This window comes from Homo sapiens, chromosome X (genome assembly GCF_000001405.40).
Source record: "Homo sapiens chromosome X, GRCh38.p14 Primary Assembly".
In the NCBI taxonomy this organism is placed as follows: domain Eukaryota; kingdom Metazoa; phylum Chordata; class Mammalia; order Primates; family Hominidae; genus Homo; species Homo sapiens.
Window position 1 is genome coordinate 154703352 of NC_000023.11, and position 25817 is coordinate 154729168.

General features: G+C 41.2%; 1 protein-coding gene across 13 annotated transcripts in view, besides 2 other annotated features; it reads right to left on the bottom strand.

The window, feature by feature from the left end:
• The window catches only part of GAB3 (GRB2 associated binding protein 3), a 76318-nt gene that overhangs the window by 28103 nt on the left and 22398 nt on the right, over nucleotides 1-25817 (bottom strand). For 10 of the 13 annotated variants that reach the window (XR_938505.2, XM_047441834.1, XM_011531106.2 and 7 more), the window contains exons 2-4: nucleotides 12675-12978; nucleotides 9856-10075; nucleotides 8878-9350 (exon numbers count right to left, since the gene is read on the bottom strand). Coding sequence is in view for 11 of the 13 variants with exons in the window: in XM_047441834.1 (XP_047297790.1) it covers nucleotides 8878-9350; nucleotides 9856-10075; nucleotides 12675-12978 (997 nt within the window). In the remaining 2 variants the exon portion in view is untranslated. The remainder of the gene's footprint in view (nucleotides 1-8877; nucleotides 9351-9855; nucleotides 10076-12674; nucleotides 12979-25817) is intronic. The other 3 variants (XM_047441835.1, NM_080612.4, NR_104114.2) reach the window with 2 other exon arrangements.
• Nucleotides 11745-11854: a silencer, noted in NCBI's record as "silent region_21115". NCBI's record gives its function as "represses an Ori minimal core promoter by ATAC-STARR-seq in GM12878 lymphoblastoid cells {active_cell/tissue: GM12878}" and the evidence as "EXISTENCE:reporter gene assay evidence [ECO:0000049][PMID:35858748]".
• Nucleotides 16003-16297: an enhancer, noted in NCBI's record as "tiled region #12525; K562 Activating DNase matched - State 5:Enh". NCBI's record gives its function as "activates a minimal TATA promoter and a strong SV40 promoter by Sharpr-MPRA in K562 cells {active_cell/tissue: K562}" and the evidence as "EXISTENCE:reporter gene assay evidence [ECO:0000049][PMID:27701403]".

Consider the following 25817-nt stretch of genomic DNA (forward strand, 5'->3'; position numbering starts at 1 on the left):
AACATATACAGAGCTGGAGGCCACTGTTCTTAGCAAACTAACGCAATAACAGAAAACCCAATACCACATGCTCTCACTTATAAAAGTCAGAGCTAAATGATGAGAACACATGGACACATAGAGGGGAGCAATAGACACTGGGGCCTATTGGAGGGCAGAGAATGGTAAGAGGGAAAGGATCAGAAAAAATAACCAATGGATACGAGGCTTAATACCTGGGTGATGAAATAGTCAACAAACCCCTATGACACAAGTTTACCTATTTAATAAACCTACACATGTACCCCTGAACTTAAAACAAAAGTTAAAATAAAAAATATATTTAAAAACTGCAATGAGATTATCATCTCACCCCAGTTAATATGGCTTATATCCAAAAGACAGGCAATAACAAATGCTTGTGAGGATGTGGAGAAAAGGGAACCTTTGTACACTGTTGGCAGGAATGTAAATTAGTACAACCACTATGGAGAAGTTTGGAGGTTCCTCAGAAAACTAAAAATCGAGCTACCATAGATCCAGCAATCCCACTGCTGGGTATATACCCCAAAGGAAGGAAATCAGTGTATCAAAGAGATACCTGCACTCCTATGTTTGCTGCAGCAGTATTCGCAGTAGCCAAGATTTGGAAGCAACCAAAGTGCCCATCGACAGATAAATAGATAAAGAAAATGTGGTACATATATACGATAGAGTACTCTTCAGCCATAAAAAAGAATGAGATCCCATCATTTGCAACAACACGGATTGAACTGGAGGTCATTAAGGAGGTTAAGTGAAAGAAGCCAGGTACAGAAAGACAAATGTCACATGTCCTCACTTATTTGTGGAATCTAAAAATCAAAACAATTGAACTTATGGGCATAAAGAGTGGAAGAATGGTTGCCAGAGGCTGGGAAAGGTAGCCAGGGTGGGGGGCTGTGGGGGAAGTGGGGATGGTTAATAGATACACAAATTCATTAGACAGAATAAGACCTAATATTTGACCACACAACAGGGTGACTATAGTCAATAATAACTTAATTGTACATTTTTAAATAACAAAAAGAGTGTAATTGGATTGTTTGTAACATGAAGAACAAATGCATGATGTGATTATTTCACATTGTATGCCTGTATCAAAACATCTCATGTACCCTGTAAATATATACGCCTACCATGTACCCACAAAAATTAAAAAGAAATAAGAAACTATAAAAGCAAGAGCAAACCAAACTGAAAAATAGTATAAGGAAATAAATAATAAAGATCACATCAGAACTACAGAAAAAGTTCGTTCTTCAAAAAGATAAACAAAATCAATAAACCACTAGACTAAGTGGTTTAGTCACTTAGTCAGTAACTAGAGTAAGAAAAAGCGAAGAATGCTCAGATAAATAAAATTAGAACTGAAAAAGGAGGCATTACAATAGTTACCAAAGAAATACAAACGGTTATTAGAGATTGTTTTGAACAATTATACATTAACAAATTTGAAAACCCAGAGGAAAAGGATAAATTCCTGGACACGTAAAACCTACCAAGATTGAATCAGAAAGAACTAGAAAACCTGAACAAACCAATAATGAGTAATGAGATTGAATCAATAATAAAAAAAGGTCTTCCAACAAAGTAAAGCCCAGAAACTTGATGGCTTTACTGCTGAATTCTACCAAACATTTGAAGAAGAGGTGACACCAATGCTTCTCAAACTATCCCCCACAAAATGAAGAAGAGGTGACACCAATGCTTCTCAAACTATCCCCCACAAAATGAAGAGGGAATTCCCTCTCATTCTACGAGACCAGCATCACCCTGATACCAAAACCAGACAAGGACACAAGAAAAAAAAGAAAACTACAGGCCAGTATCTCTGATGAACATAGATGCAAAATCTTCAACAAAATACCAGGTTTAGTACCTAGGTTATGAAATAATCTGTACAACAAACCCAGTGACATGCATTTCCCTATGTAACAAACCTGCACATGTACCCAAAACCTAAAATAAAAGTTTAAAAAATTAAAAAATTAAAAAATACTAGCAACCTGAGTCAAACAATACATCATAAAGATAATACACCATGATCAAGTGGGATTAATCTCAGAGATGCAAGAATGAGACACATCACATCAACAGAATCAAGGATAAAAACCATATGATCATCTCAATAGATGCATAAAAAGCATTTGATAAAATTCAACATCCCTTCATGATTAAAAAAACTATCAACAAACTAGGCATATAAGGAACATACCTCAAAATAATAAAGGCTATATATGACAAACCCACAGACAACATCATAGAGAATGGGGAAATGCTGAAAGCCTTTCCTCCAAGAACTAGAAGAAGAAAAGAATGCCCACTTTCACCACTTTTATTCAACATATTACTGGAAGTCCTGGCCAGAGCAATCAGGCAAAAGAAAGAAATAAAGATATCCAAATTGGAAAAGAGGAAGACAAATTCTCTCTATTTGCACATGACATAATATTAAATACAGGAAAATTTAAAGATGCTACCAAAAAACTCTTAGAACTGATAAATGAATTTAGTAAGTTTGCAGGATACAAAATCAACATACAAAAATCTGTAGCATTTCTATACATCAAACAATGAGCTAGCTGAAAAAGAAAGGAAGAAAGCAATCCCATTTACAATAGCTACAAAAAATTTCCCAGGGATAAATTTAATGAAAGAGGTGAAAGACCTGTACAATGAAAACTAAACTACAAAACACTGATAAAAAGAATTGAAGAGGACACAAACAAATGGAAAGAAGAATTAATATTCTTCTGGATCTGGCCGGGCACAGTGGCTCGCACCTGTAATCCTGGCACTTTGGGAGGCCGAGGCAGGCAGATCACCTTAGGTTGGGAGTTCGAGACCAGCCTGATCAATATGGTGAAACCCCATCTCTACTAATAATACAAAAATTAGCTGGGCATGGTGGGGCATGCGTGTAATCCCAGCTACTCGGGAGGCTGAGGCAGGAGAATCGCTTGAACCTGGAAGGCAGAGGTTGCAGTGAGCCAAGATCGCACCACTGCACTCCAGCCTGGGCGATAGTGCAAGACTCCATCTCAAAAAAAAAAAAAATGCTCATGGATCAGAAGAATTAACATTGTTAAAATGAACATGCTATCCAAAGTTATCTACAGATTTAATGCACTCTCTATCAAAATATCAGTATATCAATTACGTTCTTCACAGAAATAGAAAAAACAATCTTAAAATGTATATGGAACCACAAAAGACCTTGAACATCCAAAGCAATACTGAGCAAAAAGAACAAATCTGGGCTGGACATAGTGGCTTATGCCTGTAATCCCAGTACGTTGGGAAGCTGAGGTGGGAGGATCGCTTGAGGTCAGGAGGTTGAGATCAGCCTGGGCAACATAGCAAGACCCTGCCTCTAAAAAAAAAAATTTTTTTTCAAATTAGTCAAGTGTGGTGGCGTGAGCCTGTAGTCCCAGCAGCTTGGGGGACTGAGGTGGGAGGATTATTTAAGCCCAGAAGTTTGAGGCTGTAGTGATCTATGATCACACCACTGCACTGAAGCCTGGGTGACAGAATGAGACCTTGTTTCTGAAAAAAAAAAAAAAAATTAGAAAGAACAAAGCTGGAGGCATCAAACTACGTCAATTCAAAATATACAAAATTACAATAACCCAAACAGCATGATGATATTGGTATGAAAACAGACACATAGACCAATGGAACAGAATAGAGAACCCAGAAATAAATCCATATTTTATGACGTCAGCATAACATTTTTACCAAAACCAAAGACGTCATGATAAAAGAAAGTTACAGGACAATCTCCCTCATGAACACAGATTTTTTTTGAAGTTCTAAACAAAATATGAGCAAAACAAATCTAGTAATTTATAAAAAGGATAGGTATCATGATAAAGTTGGGTTTATTCCAGAAATGCCAAGGTTAGTTTAGCACTAAAAAAATTATCCAGTGAATTTCTTGACATTAACATGATAAAAATAATATGATTATAAAGTGCTTCAACCACAAAAAATGATAATTATATTAGGTAATGTTTGTTAATTAGCTTGATTTTAATCATTCCATGATATAGATGTATATCAAAACATCATATTGTATCCCATAAATGTATACAATTATTTGTCAGTTAAAAATAAAAGAAATACATCTATTCATGACTTTAGAAAATAACAGTTAGCAAAGTAGAAAATATGTGAATGACTTTAATCTAATGAATGATATCTACAATATTCCACAGCAAACCACATTGTAACGGTGAAATATTAGAAGCTTTCTATCTGAGATCAGGAATGATACAAGGATCCGTATTGTCACCAGGACTATTCAGTAACGTCCTGGACTTCTTATCCCATGCAGTGACATAAGAAAAAGTAATGAAAAATACAAGGGTTGTTAAAGAAAAAACAAAGCTATTATTATTTGCAGGCAATATAATTATATGCAAAGAAAAGACAAAATAATCCATAGTTTTAAAAAGCTGGATATAAAATCAAAATCCAAAACTCAATTTAAGTTTTCATACAACAGCAAAAAACAGTTGACAATAACATAAAAAATAGCAAATACACGGAAATGTATTAATAAGAGATATGTAAAATTTCTACACTAAAAACTATAAAACATTATATACACAAATTAAATAAAATCTACGTTGTACTGGCATAAAAACAGATACATAAACCAAAAGAACAGAATAGAGAGGCCAGAAATACACCCACATGTACATGGTCAACTATGCTTTGACAAGAGAGCAAAGAATACACAATGGAGAAAGGAGAGTCTCTTCAATAAATTGTGTTGGGAAAACTGGATATCCACACGCAAAAGAATGAACTTGGGCCCTTTTCTTATACCATATACAAAAAATTAACTTGAAATGGATTATAGACTTCAATCTAAAATCTAAAACCATTTAGCCCCTAGAAGAAAATATAGGGGGAAAGCTCATTGACATTGGTATTGATTGACAATGATATTTTGGATATGATTCCAAATGCACAGGCAAAAATAGCAAAAATAAACAAGCGGAGCTACATCAAACTAACAAGTGTCTGCTCAGCAAAGGAAACAATCAACAAAATGAAAAGGCAACCTAGAGAATGAGAGAAAATATTTGCAAATCATATAAAAGGGGTTAACAGTAAAAATATATAAGGAACTCACATAACTGAGTAGCAAAAAAACTAAATGACCCAATTTTAAAATGGGCAAAGATCCGAATAGACATTTCTCAAATGGCCAACAGGTATATGAAAAAATGCTCGACATCACTAACCATCATGGAAATGCAAATCAGAACCACACAAGGTATCGGCCCACACCTGTGAGGATGGCTAATATCAAAAAAGACAAGAAATACAAGTGTTGGAGAGCATGTAGAGAAGAGAACCCTTGTACACTGTTGGTGGGAATGTAAATTGGTATAGCCATTATGGAAAACAGTATGGAGGTTCCTCAGAAACTAAAAATATAACTACCTTATGATCCAGCAATCTCTCTTCTGGATACATATCCAAAAGAAATGAAATCAGTATGTCAAAGAGATACTTGCCCTCCTGTGTTTGTTGCAGCACTATTCACAATAGCCACAACATGTGATATGGTTTGGCCCTGTGTCCCCCACAAATCTCATGTTGAATTGTAATTCCCAATGTTGGAAGTAGGGCCTGGTGGGAGGTGATTGGATCATGGGGGTGGTTTCTAATGGTTCAGCACCATCCCCCTAGTGCTGTCTTGTGATAGAGCTCTCACGAGATCTGGTTGTTTAAAAGTGTGTAGCACCTCCCCCTTCACTCTCTTCCTCCTGCTCCAGCCATGTAAGACATGCTTCCTTCCTCTTTGTCTTCTTCCATGATTGTAAGTTTCCTGAGGCCTCCCTAGCCATGCTTCCTGTACAGCCTGTGGAACTGTGAGTGAGTCAATTAAATCTCTTTGCTTTATAAATTACCCAAATTACCCAGTCTCCGGCAGTTTTTTTTTTTTTTTTGAGACGAAGTCTTGCTCTGTCGCCCAGACTGGAGTGCAGTGGTGTGATCTTGGCTCACTGCAAACTCTGCCTCCCAGGTTCAAGCGATTCTCCTGCCTCAGCCTCCCGAGTAGCTGGGACCACAGGCACCCGCCACCACACTGGGTAATTTTTGTATTTTTAGTAGAGACAGGGTTCCACCATATTGGCCAGGCTGGTCTTGAACCTCTAACCTTGTGATCTGCCCGCCCCCGCCTCCCAAAGTGCTGGGATTACAGTCTGAGCCACCGCACCCAGCCTCAAATAGTTCTTTAGTCCATTCTCATACTGAGAATGGACTAATACAACATGTAGTCAATTTGTGTCCATCACTGGATGAATGGATAAAGGATATAATGGATATAAAAAATGTGGTATATATTCAGAATGGAATATTACTCAGCCTTAAAAAGGAATGGTATCCTGTCATTTGTGACAACATGGGTAAACCAGGATGAGATTATGTTCAGTGAAATGAGCTGGGCACAGAAAAAAAAATACTGCACGATTTCACTTATATGTGGAATCTAAAAAAGTCAAACTCATGGCAATAGTAAAATGGTGGTTGTCAGGGACTGGGGAATGCAGGTAAATGAGAATATGTTGGTCAAAAGGTACAAACTTTCAGTGATAAGTGAACAAGTCTGGGGGATCCAATGTACAGCATGGGTGGCCATGGATGTGTTAATTAGTTTGATTGTAATAATCAGTACATAATGCATATGCATATCAAATCATCATGTTCTGATGCATATGCATTCACACCTTGAATATGTGCAATCTTTATTTGTCAATTAAATATTTTAAAATACAAAAATAAGACCTACAGAAATGGAAGCATATTTCCTATTCATGGATTGGAAAATTCAACATTGTAGTCAAATCTTCACAAACCGATCTACAGATCGGATGCAATCCTCCTCAAATCCCCAATATATTTATATATGTGTGTCTAGAACCTGACCAGCTGACTGTAAAATTGACCCTAGAATAGCCATTATATTCCCAAAGGCAGGAGGACTTGTCCTACTGGATATTAAGACAGAATGGTACAGTAATTAAGAGAGTGTGGCACTGGTGCAAGCTGGACAAGTAGGCTCCAAGGGATAGAAAGCAGAAAGGAAACTCAGACCCTCACATACATGGGCACTTCATCTATGGCAGAGGGGGCGCTGGAGAGCCATGGGGACAGGACAGCCTTGCAGGGTCATCGGATGGAGATCCAGATGGACAAAAACGAACCTTGACCTCACTCTGCCACCACGTACCAACACAGATTCCAGGCAAATCTCAGTGGGAAAGGCAGAACAATAAACTTTATGCATTCCCTCAGCTTTATCAGAGCCATTTTGCTTCTAGGCACCACTGTTGTTTGGTCTTTGTTTCATGGTCAAAACCTCTATTTTACTTAGTTTTAATCTTTGTTTGCCTTCATGTAAAAGAACACAACCTAATTGTTTTATGTTTGTGTTGAAATTTCAAATTATTTCAAGTTTTTGTTCTTCAATTTAAGACTTTTAATTCATTTTCATATGTTATTATTCTACTGGTTTTATTCATTTCACTTCCTAAAATCTGCTTAACCACTTTCATTTTTCCCTTTTTGTCAACTGTTCACACATGTTAGCATATCCAGATCATTTGTGTAATCAGTATACATCTATTTCATAAGGACTGTCAAAAGGAAGCAACATACATAATGGTAACATCATTAGGGACATTAGGGAAGGTTTTTACTAGTGACTTAATTCTCAGTCAGAATGAGAGATTCGTACAATTTGAAAATAAATTTGCACTCCTTCCACTTTCCATAATTCCTTGAAAACATGGCCTAAATAAGTAGTGATGTGTGGGTGATTATATTTCAATGGAGAGAGAAAGAAAGAGAGAGAAGAAAGAAAAAAGGAGAAAGACACAGAGATAGACAACTAGTTTTTGTGTCTGTCTGTGTATCTGAGAGATACAGACTGATGTAAGAAAGAAGAGCAAAATGCTAAGGTTGGTTGGCTCATGGCAGAAAGATGAGGTGGCTCAGCAAAGCAGTAAAGAAGAGGTTACTGAAAAACCACAATGAATGGGCTTGAATTGGCTTTCACCAAACAGCTTCTGAAGGCCAGAGAGGCCCAGGTGGAAAGAAACAGGTGGAGGAAGATGGAACTGCAAGCAGAATTGCAAGATAACCTCGTGAGGATAAATGGCCTTATAGAAAAGGGCAAAAGAGGGCTGTGGGAGGGCCCTTTGTACAGCCACTTAGAATTTGGAAAGAACAAGTCTAGTGGGATGATGAATGAGGTTGATGGGATTGCTAAAAAATAGAAGGCAGTGATGGTCTGTGGTCTCAGGACTCTCTATGTATGTGAGAGAGAGGCAAAGAAGGGAATGGGACTGAGTTAAGACAAAAGACATCAACTTTTGTACCAAGTGGGTCCCTGAGTGACTCCAAAAAACACTAGGAGCTCAGACTCAGGTGGGAAGCTTACCACATGGGCAAGGACTTGCATGGGCAAGCCCATCACAAGGGACCAGGGTTCCAACCTATTGCAGCATCTATGGGGACCTAAATGTCTCTCCTGGTGGTCAGGCTCAAAGGAGGGGTTGGGGGGATCCAGGAACAGAAGAGTGCTGCTTTCAGGGTATATGCTTCCACCAAGGATCCAGCCCCATTAGAAGATCAGGCCAGCCTGAACAAGGGACAAGCACATATGTACACAAGTACACACTACTGATGTGGCTTTTTACCAAGCTGCACACATCAAGGTAATTCTAACCCAGCCCCATCGTTTTGGTCCATTGGCATGACCTCACATGGGCACAAAGAGTGAAGAGGAGCCCGGGTTTTCTTGGCGCCTGAATCTTAGGACCCAACACTTACCTTTCCAGGTTCTCATGTTGTCTAAACCAGAGAGGGAGATTCTTCTTGGAACCAGAGTGCATTCTGGCTTCTTGCTACCACTGTGTGTACTCCACTCCTCTTGGCGCCGTTCAGACAGATGGCTTGGCTTAGGGGGGCGGGGAGGTGGAGTGTTGGACATAATGTCTAGTTCTTTTGCTCCACAGGGTAAGGAACCTTGATTTTTATCTACCTGAATGGTGGAACTTAAGGAACTTTCCAGCAATGGTGAAGAAGACAAGTGGTCCCTGGGTGGCCCATTGATTTCTCTACTCCAGATCAGGGCAGCCTGAGGCCTCGAGGATGGCACCTCCTGAGCTCCACTGCCATGGCATGAGGGGTGGACCAAATGACTGGAGGGGAGCGGCTGCAGGCAGTCAACAAAAACATCATCAAATGAAGCCTGTTCCAATGAACGGTCTGAGTTTGACCAGCTATCACATCTGGTGGGTAGACTGGGGAAGAAAAGCATGTAAGTTGGACTAAAATGCAGCCATCCACCCACCACAAAACCAACGCTGGCCTCATTCCCATCTCCCCAGTACCACCTTGCTTGCTACTTGCATAGCCACATTCCCTCTACAACACTCAGTTACACCAACCCCTTGGTGTGGCAAAAGAAAAATGGTTTGTTGATTTTTTCATCCTCTAAGCATCAGATACACATGAAAATGCAAGGCTAGAAGTGAAAACCACAATGCTGAAAAGCATGACTCATTCTGTTTAGTATACTACATGCTTCATCTTTCACAGTGGTTCATAGCAATCTGTTCCTGCCTTGACATTGGCAGGAAGAGAGGTGACAGCAGACACACCCACTAGAAAATGCTACCACTAAATGGACTAATTTGGTGAAGCACACTGAACACATCTCAGCTACGGACTGCAAGAGGAGGCAGTGTGACTCTAGAGAGCATGCTAGCAGGCCCAGCTCAGACAGAGTCCTGGGCATAAGCATACCTGGTATGGTGCAGTCTTCCAGTCTCGCAGTTGGACAAAACCAGATAATCTGGAAGGAAGAGAAGCTCTGACTCACTTCTGGTTTCCTCAGTGGCTACGGCATTAGTGTTTGGGTCATCTCTTGGCAAAGAGGAGCTGGCAGCATGGGCGGTAAGAAGGGAGCTGGCAGAGGATGGCTGCAGGGAGGAGGGCGTGTAAGAGAGGCTCTCCATGGAATCTGCTGGAGAAATCATTTCCCAGGTTAATGTTTAAGAATGGCTATAACACGCACTCAAAATTTCTCCAACAGCATCAAAGAAGCCAAACAGAAGATGCAAATCACAGCTGGTGTTTGTACTGATGGAGAAGACCATTTCCCCAAGCTATAAACAATGTCTGGGAAAGAAGGCCAATGTTTCAAGAGCAAAGTGTTGAATCAATTAAGAGTAAAAAACCCAGCATTCTTGGCCCAAAAATCTGCAGTTAATCTACGCACAGCTTCTTTATGGCCCTCAGCAGCAGCCTTGCCTCATTGTTTTTTCACTCAACTAACAAACATATATATATATATATATATATATATATATATATATATATATATGCATAACAAGTACATGCATATAGTTATATATGTACTTGTGCATATATGTATGTATACCTATACATGTTTATTATATAGGTATATGTCTATATAGAATACCTATTACATCTACCATGTGCCCAGAATGCCACTAACCCTCAATACAGCCAAGACAAAGATCCTGCCCTTATTGAAGTTTAGATTCTAGCAGAGAAGACAGACAAATAACACATAAATAAAGAGTCCTGTTCATCACTGTTATAAGTAAAGGGAAGGAAAGAAACACAGTGCTGTGGTGGCTGGAAAAGTCCATTTCTTTTTCTCAAGGAGCATAACATTCTCCCCATCACCTGAGAACATGGTCCTTAAGATGAATTTGAATCAGGAATCAATGAGAACTCCAGATCAGAAACAGCCAATGAAAAGCCTGCTTTTATTTCCCTTTTGAACCAAGTTAATAGTCCAGGATTCCTGAGTCAGGATGACCCAGAACTAACTAGGTTCAAGTCCAGGCTCTACTACATAGCCATTACTACATGGCCTGCCTTCTCCAAGTTTCCTTTTCTATAAAGTGGAGATAGTAATCACACATAGGCCATAGAACTGCTGTGGGGATGAGACAAGTTAATATACAAAAGCATTTCAACAGAGATCCTGGCCAGGGTACACACACAATGTGTTGACTACTATATGGTTGCTGGAGACAGAACCAAACACTCTGTGAAAAGTCACAAGAAAGCCCTTTGGGTGTAATTCTCAGATGAAGAGGACCCTGCTCTTATGTGGTTCTAAAAACTGAGGCGGGGGGCTACAGAGAATGGAAAGGGTCATAGGTGAGTTTTCTGGCTTCCTCCAACTTCATGCCGGGACAGGCTCTCCAGTTTCGGCCTGGTGCCTTACTCATTCCTGGTGCTCTTGGGTTATTGGGAAACATATTATATATGTATGTTTTAGGATAACTCCTGGATAAGGAAAGAAACAGAGGAGATATATAACACAGTATACGACGATATACCTAGTTAAGGCTGAAGGTGCACAACAGGGTGGTAAAGAGCCAGCAGCAAGGCTGGAGAAGTTAGTTGGTCAGGGAGGTTCTGCTTGATTTGCATAATGTCAGACTCTAGCCAGAACCTACTTAATGCTGCTTTTCCAATTAAGTTTTGTCCATTGTACCAAGGATAAAGAACTTGCCATCACTTCATTTCCTTTTATTTGAGTGCTCCCAATGCTCAGCAATATTATTGAATAGCCTCACTTAATATGCTTCCCTGGTTCATGAAACGAAAAGGAATGTGTTCTCAGAAAGCACACTCTTGTGCCTGTCCTGGAGGGAGATTCAATTCTGACTCTCCATTGCCACCTAGCGTTAGAGTGTGGATATTTCAGTGGCAGATGGTGGAAACCATGCAGTAACTCTTAAAATGTTGAAGCAACTATAGATTACAGGATTTAGGGGCAAAGTTTTGTCTACTAGACTAAGAGGCTAAAAGAAACCAGATTCAAAATCTCATATTTTGAGGAATAGGACATGTTGCAATAATGTCAGGGGCTCAACAACAAAATCCATGAAGGGAAGTTAATTGTAACCCTAGGTTACAATATACCTGGAAAATTACATAGGATGAGTTGTGTGTGTGTGCGTGTGTGCGTGTGTGCGTGTGGCAGAGAGAGAGAGAGAGAGAGAGAGAGACTCTGGGGTACTCTTCATGGGTCAATTGCTCCCACTGCCCAGAAATGGCCCAGAGCAAACTTACAACTAATTTCCTCTGCAGAGAACTTGAGACATTTGGAGGTATCAGGAAATCTTTCTTGCCTACGATAAGTAGCCAAGTTCTCTCTTTCTACCATTTAGTGATGAACAACCCAATAGGCACCAGAAATGCTGGAGTTCCACAATATTTTGAAGTATGGCAATATTTGATATTTCTAGAAGGTCATGAGTGTCAGCATCATGGGAAGACATCCTCATCCACATTTGACTTTCACTGTGGCTGAATGAGAGCAAAGACATGAAGGGGTTTTAAAGCCATTAAAGTAACCTGCAATGCTCAGTGTGCTCATGGACTCTGCCTTCCCACATTTGGACTGGGTAAAAGAGGGCAATTTCCAGTATTGTATTTGGTAGGAACAGTTCTGATATAAATTAGCCTGCCAAAACACCCTCAAGGAGGCAGGCTTGGCATCTTGAACTGTTTTTCTGCAGTAACCCTCCAGTCCTGGGATACCCCTTAGCACATGGGAGCCCCAACTCCGCTCTTACCTGCACCATCCTCCAGGTGGCCAAGGTTGCAGACCTGACTGATGCTGTGCACCCACACCTGCATTTCTTGCTCAGTTTTGGCCACCAGGTAGAATGTACGGGAAGTAGTCTTGACAATGAACACGAAATTATTCTGAAATTCCTTCCGAACAAAGCTGGGGCCCACATGCTTCCACACTGCACACTCGCTGAGGTCTATCACCCGGATGGGCTTGCTGGAGTGCTTGTTCCTGTAGTACTCCAAGACATCGGGGTTGCCGCTCATGCGGCCTCGCCGGAGGACAAACCAGCGCTTGCGCCAGGCCTGCAGAAAGGCAATTCAATAAGGAGTTACTGGACCAATTTCTCTTGTTTCTCAGGCTATGCCAAGAACCCATGTCATGACAAGGACAGCAGGAAGGAAACAAATCAGCCATTCTAATGATGAAACGCTTTGTATTACAGGACTAGTGCCCATCTTCAAGTCCGCTTTATTGGATGATTTTAAGGACGGGTCAGGATTGGAGAGTCTAGTAATGGGATTCACACCCACAGTTTGAAGGGCCAGAATTATACAATCATTGAAATTGATGCAGCAAAGGAATGTAGTACAAATTTAACATATGCTGAAGCTTTAAAAGAATCTTAGCAATAAAGAACTAGAAGGAAGCTTTCTTACTATTATGTATCTCAGTTCAAGAGCCAATATCATACATTAAAATCAGATGAAAATCACAAATGCTCACCACTGCCCCAGTATCTTCCAACATTGCTATTTAAGTTCTACACAACTGGCCAAGAAGGAAAATCATACACATTGGAGAGGAGGAGAGAAGATTGCCAGTGTCTGAAGGTGACAAATTGTCTTCCATAAAACCCCCAATGATGATTAAAACACTAATAGAATTCTCAGAGAATTAACTAGCTTGGCTAGTTACACTTCCTATGTAAGAGACCCTTGTCTAAGCGCTTTACTGTAACCCATTTAATCCCTAAAACTATACTATGGGAGGGGTAACTATTACTATCTCCATCTTATGTCTGATAAAATTGAGGTTCAGAGAGATTAAGTAATGTGCTCAAGGTCACATAGCTAAACAACTGTAGGAATGAATTTGAACTCAGGTTGGGATGGAAGGATCGGTAATGGATGTGAAGTTAAAAAATAAAGAGAGAGAGGAAGTGTAGCCAGCTCTCCAGAAACATCTGACTGTAAAGGGGGAAAGCTCTGGGGTCAAGGGATTTTTTAAAGATGGGAGACTCTTAAGCATTCACCCCCTAAGTCACAGTGTTTTTCAACCAGGGATGGTATAATTCCTCTCGGGAGCATCTGAAAATATGTGGGTTTTGCTTGTTATAAAGGCTGGAGATGGAGTGGGGGGTGGGGCATGGCAGGATTGGCCTAAAGCTATCAGTGCCCCTGTTTTGAAACACTGTAAAAACAAAAAGGAATTTTCCTTAATGGAATAGGAATCTTGGAAAGAGCCAAGCCTGGAAGTCAGATGAACAGGTAAAGCTCAGTCCATGCTCAGAAAAGAAAAGAGAATGATATTCCACAGAAACCAGTGCCAAGATTTGACAGGTCTCTTTTTGTGCCCTGAGAACAACTGAGAATGACCTAGGGCTCCTTGGCTTCCCACTCACCATTGACTTAGAATTTTTGATGTAGACAGTACCATCTTGGCTCAGTACAAAGAAAGGGTGCAGATCTCTGGCCTGGGGAAAGAGGTATTTACAATTGACCAAAGCCCTAGGGAGTCCCCTGGATCTGTAAACCTCCCTGCCCTCTCATGGAGCCAGGGGGAAGGAAATGTTTGAGTTCCTTGTCTTACATTTAGGTGCCCTTTGTTCATCGAAGGGCCAGATAGGCCAGCCTGCATGGATAGCGTATCCTTACTTTCTGCGGTAGGGAACTATGGCATTAGCCCCAGTTGGGAATTGAGCACAGAGAAGGATGACGGCTGACCGCAGGGAGATTTATAGCTCTGTGGTTTTTCTCTCCCATGCGGTAGCATGTGTGACAGCAGGAAGTGTGGGGTTCTGCCAGGAGGTACAGCGACCCCTGGGACAGGAAGTCTTTTGTATCTCTAGCTTCATTTATGTGTGATACTTTTTAAGCCCACCAGCTTTGACCAAGAGGCCAGGGAAAAAGGAAAAGACACTATTTGGAGTATTCTCAGCTCCCTCCCTGCTCAGAGAACATGAATCTGAGATGGCAGAGAATCCAAAGAAGCACTGACCTCCAATTATGCCTTAGAATAAAAAGCCCTTCCAGGACTGAGGCAAGGGGCAGCAAGCAGAAGGAAGGCAGTCACTCCATGTCAGGTTGGGGCAGGTGAACCCTGGTTTGCTCCTGCCTTTACAGACAGTATAAAGCTTTGAAAAGAGGTCTGGCCATGAGTCAAACAAGGAGACCATCTCAGGAGACAAACAACGTGGTGTGATTAAGTCCATGTTTTTAAGACAGGAAAAATAACAGCATGTTTGTATGCTCGTGGGGGTGACCCAAGAGGGAGAGAAAAATTGATTCAGTAAATTCCTGTTGCAAAAACGTGGCACTGGATGGGAGTAGAGCCACTAAACATAAGAGAAGGAGCTCAAGTTTTGCTGTGGGGTTTGAAAGTGGGAAACCTGGGCTTCTGGCATCAACTGAGGCAAACAGGAACATAAGGCCTAGTCCAGGGAAGGGGCTCAGGGGATGAGAGAATGCCATTTGTGCCTGCTGAGGAAAGCTTTCATGGGGAGGGAGCATGGGGTGCTCCAAACTTTCCAAAAGCCACTTTGGTGGGGGAAATGTAAAGAGGAACTTTGTTGCACTTCCCAAAAATGATTCTAAAAGAGGAAGTCAAACTAAGCACAGAAACAAGTTTCACATTAACCGCTCTTAGTGTTATGGAGACAATAGATTTCTTATCTTTTAATAACAATATTGGAAGAGAAGTAACACCAAGAGTTTATTTGAGTGCCTACTCTGCACTGTGCATCCTGCTAGACAATGAAGCTAGAAAAGGGGATTAGAGCTGGTCCCTAAAAGACCTCACTCTCTAGCTGGGATAGGGAGAAGGGTAGAATTATGATATGGGTAGATTTCAACTCAGCGTAGTGAGCGGTCTAGCAGAAGAATGAACCAGGAGTGGTGGGAGTGCAATGGGAAGAGTGACATGAAGAAGTTTGGGCTTTATCCATTCATTCAACAATTACCTGTTGATAGCCCACTAATATGCTGGACACTGTGCAGATACTGGGGAAGATGAAGTGAGCAAGCCACATGCCCTGCCACTCACAGTCTCATGGGCAACAAGGGAGTGAGCAGATGGATAAACAGACGATTGCAATCAGTGAGATAAGTGCTACGATAAGGCAAAACCAAGATGCTATGGGAACAAACAAAAGAGACATCTCTCTCAGATCAGTTGTCTGGGGAGGCTTCCAGGAAGAAGTGGTGACTAAGCTAAGGCTAAAGTGGGGCAGGAGGAAGCAGCGTGCACAAAGGCATTAAGGTGGAAAGGCTCAAAACTTTGCGTAAGTAGTTCAGCAGGGCTGGAAGGCAGGCATGAGGGTGGAAAGGAAAAAGAACAGTCACACAGTAACTTAAATAGGACGTAGCATAGTCTTGATGCTGAATCATGCAAAATCGCCAGTGTGTCATCCCTTAGGTTTTTAAATCTCTACATAAGAGTTTTGATTATGCAAAAACAGAAGTGAGGTGTTCTTGGAGCTCTTTGCTAAGTAGGTAAAACCAGAGGCCACATATAGTTCTGTTCCACCAGGCTTACAGGCTTCTGGAAAATGGAAGACATGTGACAAAGCCCCTGAAAGCAGTCAGTCTGCCAGCACTAAAGTGAAGCTTTTTACAGTGAAACAATGCCACAAGGAATGACGAGGGCCATGTCAAAAGGACTTAGGGGCTAACCTGAAGAGGCTACCACTGGCCATATATGAAAGAATTTTTGCTTTCATAAATAGTCATATGCTGCATGACATAATAGTAACAATGAACCAAATATACAATGGTGGTCCTATAAGATTTTTTTTCAATCCTCCGAGACATCTGAATCCCAAAAGATTTAATACCATATTTTTATTGTACCTTTTCTATGTTTAGATACACAAATACCTACCATTGTGTTACAATTGCCTACAGTATTCAATATAGTACCATACTGTACAGGTTTGTAGCCCAGAAGCAACAGGCTATAACATATAGCCTAGGTGTGTAGTAAGCTAGGTTTGTGTAAGTACACCCTGTGATGTTTGCAAAGTGACTAAATCACCTAATGACACATTTCTCAGAACATATGCCCGTCATTGAATGATGCATGATTGTGTAATAATTATAGTAGCTTGAAATCCATCAAATACACTTAAATCCATGAGTTCATTATGATATTAGAAAAATAATTTGTCGTCAGGAGATCGAGACCATCCTGGCTAACACAGTGAAACCCCGTCTCTAATAAAAATACAAAAAATTAGCCGGGCGAGGTAGTGGGCGCCTGTAGTCCCAGCTACTCGGGAGGCTGAGGCAGGAGAATGGCGTGAACCCCGGGGGGCGGAGCCTGCAGTGAGCCGAGATCGCGCCACTGCACTCCAGCCTGGGCGACAGAGCGAGACTCCGTCTCAAAAAAAAAAAAAAAAAAAAAAAGCAAAAGAATTTGTCATCTTCAGAGGATGTAAGGGAACTACTTCATTTCCTTGAAAACTACTTAAGTAAAAGGGAAGAATCAAGCATTATCCAACCTTTCCTCTACGTGAACTGTCCCACTTGGGTAGATGAAGGGAATGTCTCTTTATGAATGTATTCTGATCAGTAATGGAAAAACAAATGACAGAATTAGAATATCCCTATTTGCTAGCCCCAGTGAATTAATAGGTATAGCCATTAAGCATCAACAGCTGCTAACTTGGGAAAAGAAACAATCAGACATTTTGTGCCTCTGATAGCCTGATATGAGGGTGCAATCAGCAGAAGCCAGCCTGTAGAAAACTCTACAGGTCAAAAGCCCAGGTTCTTCAATGGATAGGTTATAAGAAAAAGAAAAGCACAGGAAAGGAAGCAATCAATAAAATGAAAAGGCAACCTATGTACTGGGAAAAAATGTTTGCAAACTACATTAAGGGGTTAATATTCAAAATTTACAAAGAACTCTTACAAGTCAATTGCGGAAAAAGAAACAAAAAATGGGTGAAGGATCTGAACAGACATTTCTCCAATGAAGACATAAAAATGTCTAGCAGGTATCTTAGTCCATTTTCTTTTGCCATAACAGAATATCTGAGATTGGATAATTTATAACAATATTAGTTTATTTTGCTCATGGTTCTGGAGACTGGCAAGTCCAAAGGCATAGCACCAGCATCTGCTCAGCATCTGGTGAGGATCTGCTTGCTGTGTCACCCCATAGCAGAAGGCAGAAGGGCAAGCGAGTGCACGCAAGAGCAAGAGAGAGCTGAACTTACTTTTAGAACAAACCCACTCTCTTGATAACAAACCCACTCCCTTGACACTGACAGAAACCCATTCATGAGGGCTGACTTCATGACCTAACCATCTCTTAAAGGTCCCACCTCCCAACACTGTTGCATTAGGGATTAAGTTTCCAACACATGAACTTTGGAGGACACATTCAAGTATAGCAACAGGTATATGAAAAGATGCTCGATATCACTAATCACCAAGGAAATGCAAATGAAAACCACAATGAGATATCACTTCATATTCATCAGAATGGCAATTATCAAAAAGACAAGCGATAACAAGTGTTGGTGAGGGTGTGGAGAAAAGGAAACCCTAGTATACTGTTGGTGGGAATGTAGATTCATACAACCCTTATGGAAAACACTATGGAGGTTCCTAAGGAAGTTGAAATTAGACCTACCACATGACCCAGCAGACCCTGACCCAGCAGACCCTCTTCTGAGTATAGACCCAAAGGAAGTGAAATCACCCTCTCATAAAGATATCTGCACTCCCATGATCAGTGCAGCATTAATTTACAATGGCCAAGATATGGAAACAACCTAGGTGTCTGTTGACAGATAAGTGGATAAAGATATTGTGGCATGTGCATCGCATCACACTATGAAATATTATTCATCCTTAAAAAGGAAGGAGATCCTGCCATTTGCAAAAAGATAGATGGATCTAGAGGACATTATGTTAAGTGAAACAGGCCAGACACAGAAAGACAAATACTGAATGATCTGTTTTGTACGTGGGGGGAAAAGGTCAAATGTACTGTGGTATATTTATAAATATATAAAAAAAAAACTGGTTACCAGGGACAAGATGGGAGGAAATGGGAAGATGTAGGTCAAAGGATACAAAGTAGCAAATATGTAAGAGGAGCAAGTCGAGAGATCCAATGTACAGCATGAGGACTGCAGCTAAAGATCCAACCAGCATCTAATGCAATTGTATTGCCTTAGGGATTTCTGTGAAATAAGTAGATTTTTGCTGCTATTGACACACACAAAGTAAACATGTGAGATTGTATGTTAATTTCCTTCACTATAGTAACCATTTACTATCCATTGGTATCCTATAAGGTCATGTTGTAAACTCCAAATTATATACAATAAAATTTACTTTTAAAAAGAAAAGAAAAAGGGACAGAGGAGATATCTATGGATTAAATGATACTTAAAAGACACATCAAAATGTTTAAGTGTGCCTAGCAGATACTCATTTGAGTGATAAAAACATTAAAAATGCAAAGAAGATATTTCTATACATGTCAGGATGGTAGTTATTTATGGGGAGAAGAAGGAGGTTATGATCGAGAAGGACACATGGAGGGACTTCTGTTGTGGGTGGCAAAGTTCTATTTGTCAATACATTTGTTTTATGTGGTTTGCAATATTTGTGTTTTCTTTTCTTTCTTTTTTTTTGACAGAGTTTTTTGCTCTTGTCGCCCAGGCTGGAGGGCAGTGGTGTGATCTTGGCTCACTGCAACCTCCACCTCCCAGTTTCAAGCGATTCTCCTGCCTCAGCCTCCCAAGTAGCTGGGATTACAGGCATGCACCACCATGCCCGGCTAATTTTTTGTATCTTTAGTAGAAATGGGGTTTCGCCATGTTGGTCAGGCTGGTCTCGAACTCCTGACCTCAGGTGACCTGCCTGCCTCAGCCTCCCAAAGTGCTGGGATTACAGGCGTGAACCACCGTGCCCGGCCTTGTGTTTTCTTTTATGACAAAAAAAATCTTAAAACAATTCCTCTGTACAGGGCACATTTGTGGATTCATTCAATCAATATTTACCGAGTGTCCACTATGTGCCAGACACTGTGCATGTAAAGAAAAAGGGTGCTATGTTTATCAGGGAGTTCGTAAGCTCACAGGATGAGGAAGGAAAGCAGAGGTTTATGCTCAATGTCCAGCATCAACTACCAGATGTGAGGAGAGGGAGTCAGAGTATAAATAAGAGATAAGTAGAGGGGTCTGAACCTAAGAAGTTCAGAGATGGGTCAGGAAGTAAAGAGTACAAAAGATGATGGTGAACACTTCAGAATAGAGGGTGTGGGGATGTTAGGACCTGAGGGCTGCCCTCTCTTCTTACTGAGATGTTTGCATTTTATGGAAACATAAAATTGCAGGCTTGCTGGCTTCAAGTAGCTGCACTGGACTTCACCTTCTCCCCTCAGGCCTTCTCTGCTGGGTAGGTCATGAGCAGCTTGGGAAGCCAAGATGGAAAAGGGTGAGGTCAAGAGTTCACGATAGACTGTGAAGATGAGCCTGGGTCAAGAGGATATAGAAAGCGGAATCACTATGCAAACAAGTATCCATAACAGTAACTTAGAGAAATGGAGTACAAAAATGGGCAGGGGGAGGCACTGAATTGAAAGTCAGGAGACCTGAATTTGAATTCCGATTCTACTTTCTGTGTGACTTTGAGCACACAGTACTTGAGTAACTCAACTTCTGCAAACCTCAGTCCTGTCATCTGTAAATGTAAATAGTAAACCCTGGCCTGTCACCCTTATGGTATGATTGTAGTGAACCAATGAGAAACAATGGCAAAACATTATCAATGTAAAAGTAACTTATAAAACGACAATGTGGGCTGGGTGCGGTGGCTCACGCCTGTTATCCCAGCAGTTTGGGAGACCGAGACGGGTGGATCACTTGAAGTCTGGAATTCGAGACCAGCCTGACCAACATGGTGAAACCCCGTCTCTACTAAAAATACAAAAATTAGCCAGGTGTGATGGCACGCACCTGTAATCCCAACTACTCAGGAGGCTGAGGCAGAATTGCTTGAACCCAGTATGTGGAGGTTGCAGTTAGCCGAGATTGGGCCACTGCACTCCAGCCTGGGCAACAGAGTGAGACTTCATCTTAAATAAATAAATAAATAAATAAATAAATAAATAAATAAATAAAAATAAAATGACAATGTGACTGTTGGCCCCCAGGGCTCATGGCATCACTTGCCTTGGGGAAACTGCTTCTCCCCTTCTGGAGCCCATGTCTCCATACTATACAATGATGAGCTCTGAGGGCTTTTCCAGCTCTGACCATCGAAAGATCCACTTCCCATCAGCCTTTCCTGCCACAGCAACCAAGCTGACTCATTACCACCGACCAGTATCATCTCTAACAACAAAACCCTGCAATATCCTGTAACCTTGTGGAAAGGTGTTTGTGCTAATTTCTAGTCTCCTCCAGGAAGGTGTGTTTAGGTCACAGGCTTGTTAGTTTTTAAAAAATTGTTAGAGAACAGTTTAATCCCATTCTTCTGAGAGTAAAAGCTACACATTGTTCTCATCTTAAAACAATCCAACTTGCTGATTACATAGTTAACAAACATCTCCAAGTTTGTTTCTTAATGGAGTGAACAAAGGTGCGAGTACCTGCAAGGCTGAAGTGGGTCCTATGCAATGGCAGGTGTCACCGCCCCCCCAAATTCATATGTTAAACTCCTAAGCCCCCAGTATCCCCGAATATAAACTTATATGGAAATAGTCTTTAGCAAGTTAAAGTGGGGTCATAATCAAATATGACTGGTGTCTTCATAAAAAGGGGAAATTGGAACACAGAGATGCATAGAAGGAAGACATCGTGAAAAGACACAGAGAGAAGATGGCCATCTACAAGTCAAGGAGAGAAGCCTGGAACACATCCTTCCCTCACAGCCTTGAGAAGGAACCAAATCTGCTGACAGCTCAATTTCAGATGTCCAGCCTCCAGAACTGTGAGACTATAATGACCTCTCTTGTCTAAGCCACCCAGTCTGTGGTACTTTGTTACAGCAGCCCTGGGAAACTAATACACTCTGCAACCTTTATTATGCATCTGAATCACCTGGAAGGACTTCCACTTCCAGCCACATTAGTGTACTGGACACTGAACTTGCCTCCTACCCATAAAACCAATTAGAAAACTAGACCAAATAAATACATGAAATAGACATTAGATGGCAGTCAGTGCAGAGCTATGGCCTCTATAAAAAGGAAAGCAAAAGAGGTGAGTCCCTGATCACCCTGGCTTTCATCCTGTAAGCACTTTCTCAACCATGGCTATCTCACAGAGTTGAGAAAGCAGAGATCGGAATTCTGGGTGGTTGAGGTGGCTAGAATTTGCAGGACAAAGGACCACAGAGAACACAGTTATGTAGAGAAAGAGCTCTACAAATCTACATAGGTGTTTCCCCATGAGACTTTGGCTGAATACTAACATTCATGTGTGTAGAGTGAAACCCTATGAGGTGCATCCTAAAACAACTACTGAAGACCCCCAATCTAAACAACTGCCAGAGCTCACACAGGGCTGGGAGATGTTTGAGTGCTGATCAGCCATAATGGAGAGACCTGGAACATTCAGTAGAGACTCAAAGAGAGGCCACATCTTAGAAGCAGGAGTAAGGCCAAACTAGCCCTAGAGTACAGGCTGCTCTAGACTTGCCCTAAGAAAGCTTAAAAAGAAGGCTTGGAATGATCAAGTTCATCAGCAAGGTAATGAATTGCTGGCCAAAACAAAAATTCAACACTCTAAGGAAAGACAAAAGCAGACACTCAACAATATAATATTTACAATGAAAACACCCAAGAAATTACTAAATATGCAAAGAAGCATAAAAATATGACTCATAACCAAAGGAAAAATCAGTCAATAGAAAGAAACCTAGAAATAACAGAGATGATAGAATAAGCAGACAACTTTGAAACAGCTATTATAACATTTGAGATTTAAAGGAAAATACGAACATAATGAGAGAAATGGAAGTTACAGACAAGAAAAAAATGGAACATGTGTAGGTAAAAAATACAATATCTGAAACAAAAAAAATACACTAGATGGGCATAATAACATCTCAGACTCTGAAGAAGTGATCATCAAACCTGAAGCACAGATAGAAAAGCCTGGGAAGAGAGGAATAACCAGAATCACCCAGAGAGCTGTTAAAAATGCACATTCCTGGACCTCACCTCCAGAGATCCTAATTCACCAGGCCTGACTTGGTGCAGAGGTGCAGATCACGATGCATAAAAGTAAGCGGCCACAGATGAAAATAAAAGAGGCTTCATCCAGTCTCATTTCCCTTAACTACCATCTATTTGATGATGGTTTACAAAATTATGTTTCCAATCTGGATCTTTCCCATGAACTTCAGACCCATATAGCCAACCATCTAACTGACATCTCCACTTACATATCTAAGAGGTCTGTCAAACTTAACAGGGCCAAAATGCAGCTTTTATTTCATGGCCACTTAACCCTCTCCTCTCCCAGCCTCTCAGTACCTCCCAATGGTATCGCCATCCTTCCATTCTGTAAATACAAAAACTTTGGAGTGATCTTTGCTTCCACTCTCCATATCCAAACCACTAGTGAGTTCTGTTGACTCTACTTTCAAAACATTCCAAATCAATCCACTTCTCTCCATGCACCACCCCTGCCCCACAACCACCCTAGTCCAAGTCACCATTGTCTTTCACCTGAGTAATTGAAATAGCCTCTTGTCTTCCCACATCCACTCTCAACTCCCCCCATAAATTCATTCTTAACAAAGAAGTCAATAACATTTTAAAATCATAAATCAGATCATGTTGTTCCCTTGGTTAGCACCCTCCAAAGGCTTCCCAATAAATTAATAACAAAACCCAAACTCTTTCACATAGCCTAGAACGTCCCACATGAACTGGCTCTGCCTGTCTCTCCCACTTCACATCTCAGCCACTCTCTTGCTCTTCCACACTGGTCTTTTTGCTGTTCCTGAACATGTAGAATCTCCTCTCCATCTTGGGGGCTTTGCCTTACTTGTTCCTTCTCCATGGAATACTCTGTCACACAGATCCTTGCATGGCTGCCATGCAGATCTCTGCTTCCTGTTATTGACACCTGAACTTAATTGTCATCTCTCAGAGAGACCCTCTCTGATCATCCATATTGAAGTGGCCAGCCACAGTCATTCTCTGCCTCCAGCACTAGAATGTGAGCTCCCGGACAGTAGAGACTTTGTCTGTCTTGATCACTGTTTTATCCTCTGGGCCTAGTAGTGCCTGGCACAGGATAGTTGCTCAGTAAATACTTGTTGAATGAATGAATTGTACATGTGATTTCATGATATCATAGACCTAGGTTTAAAACACTACTCTTGAGGAACAAGACTAGTATTGTAGTTTATAGCAAACCTAATCACCAGAATGTACTCATCACATATTTATGTGCTAGGAGCTGGAGATGTAACAGTGAACCAGATAGACACAGTCTCCAAGCTGGAACTTAGGCTGTCAGGCAAGGCATCATACCAGAGTTTTAACTCAAAACCAGCAAATACTCTATCCAGATATTGCAGCATGTTGTTCAGGATTAAACTGAACAACGAACAAGGCTTAGAAGTTTGGACACGTTCCTCCTGCACTCAATTCTACTTGCACAGTAAAATAAACCTGGCTGGGTTATAGCAAGTTTCACTTCTTTGGCTCCAGAATTCACTCCAATAAAATTGAAGTGGCCCGCCTGGATTGTATCCATTGTCAAAAGACACAGAAATGAACTGAGAAACATCCTGAAAATCTCTGAGGCTGTAAAGAGACACCTCTGATTTAAACTACTTTTCTGGTGAGAGTGATTATTGTCCCTTTGTTTCAGCAGAATTGGCCCTCTGCCCCCTCTGCGGTGGTGAAATCCCAAAGCTGTGAAATCATTTCCTTCACATGTGCACAGGAGGGGTCAGCAACCTGCCTTCAGAGCCAGGCTTTCCAACTCAGGCTGAGGGAGGAGAACCTATACCTATCTGCATTTGGAGCTCTACGTTTTGATCCTTCAATACTGCTGTCATTTCAGCAATGACACTTTTTGACTGAATCTGCCAAAAGGAATTGTGTGGGCCTCTTCCCCTCCTGACCCATGGACGTGCTTCATACTGTCCTGGCCAAGAGCGCCTAGAGCGCCAGGATTTTGGTGCTCAGATTCTGATTGTTCTGATTGCTTACAGGTGTTGGTCTCCTTCTGCGCTGCTTTTTCAGTGGCCTTATTGACCAGGTATAGGAGATGCCTCAGATTAAAAGACAACAAGGAGAAAAAAAAATGTTGCTAAGATCCTACCTGAACCAACTGTGAAAGGCTTTCAAGTTGAATGTAAATTGATGAGACGTTGGAGATGGAACTAGCTTGGGGAGCAGTTGGAGTTACAGATAGAACACAGAAATCCTGGAAACCAAGCCACACCCAGTAAACAGCAACTGGCTCCAACTTTCCCTGGGATCTTAGCCTGTGCTGACCTAAACTGTATGCTCTGTGAAGGCAAGGACGTTGCCCATCTTGGTCCCTAAAGTACCTCCAACATCTTTAACAGTCTTGGCATACAATACGTACTCAATGTGTTGTTGTGGACAGCATGACTGACTAAAGTATGGCTATAAAGGGGCAACACAGGGGATCTTTGTGATGGAACAGTTCAGTATTGGTTTCAGTGGTGGGTACATGACTCTACACAGGTGATGAAATCACACAGAGCTACACATGCACACACATGCACGTGTAAGGGGTGACATCTACAGCTGCTCTTAGAGGGTATCAATGTCATTTGCTGTTGTGAGACCGAACTAGAATTATGCTAGATGGCGACACTGAGGGAACTGGGGGGAAAAGGTGCACTGGTTTCCTGGACATTTCTTTACAACTTCCTGTGAATCTAGTGATTTCAAAATAGTAAGTTTA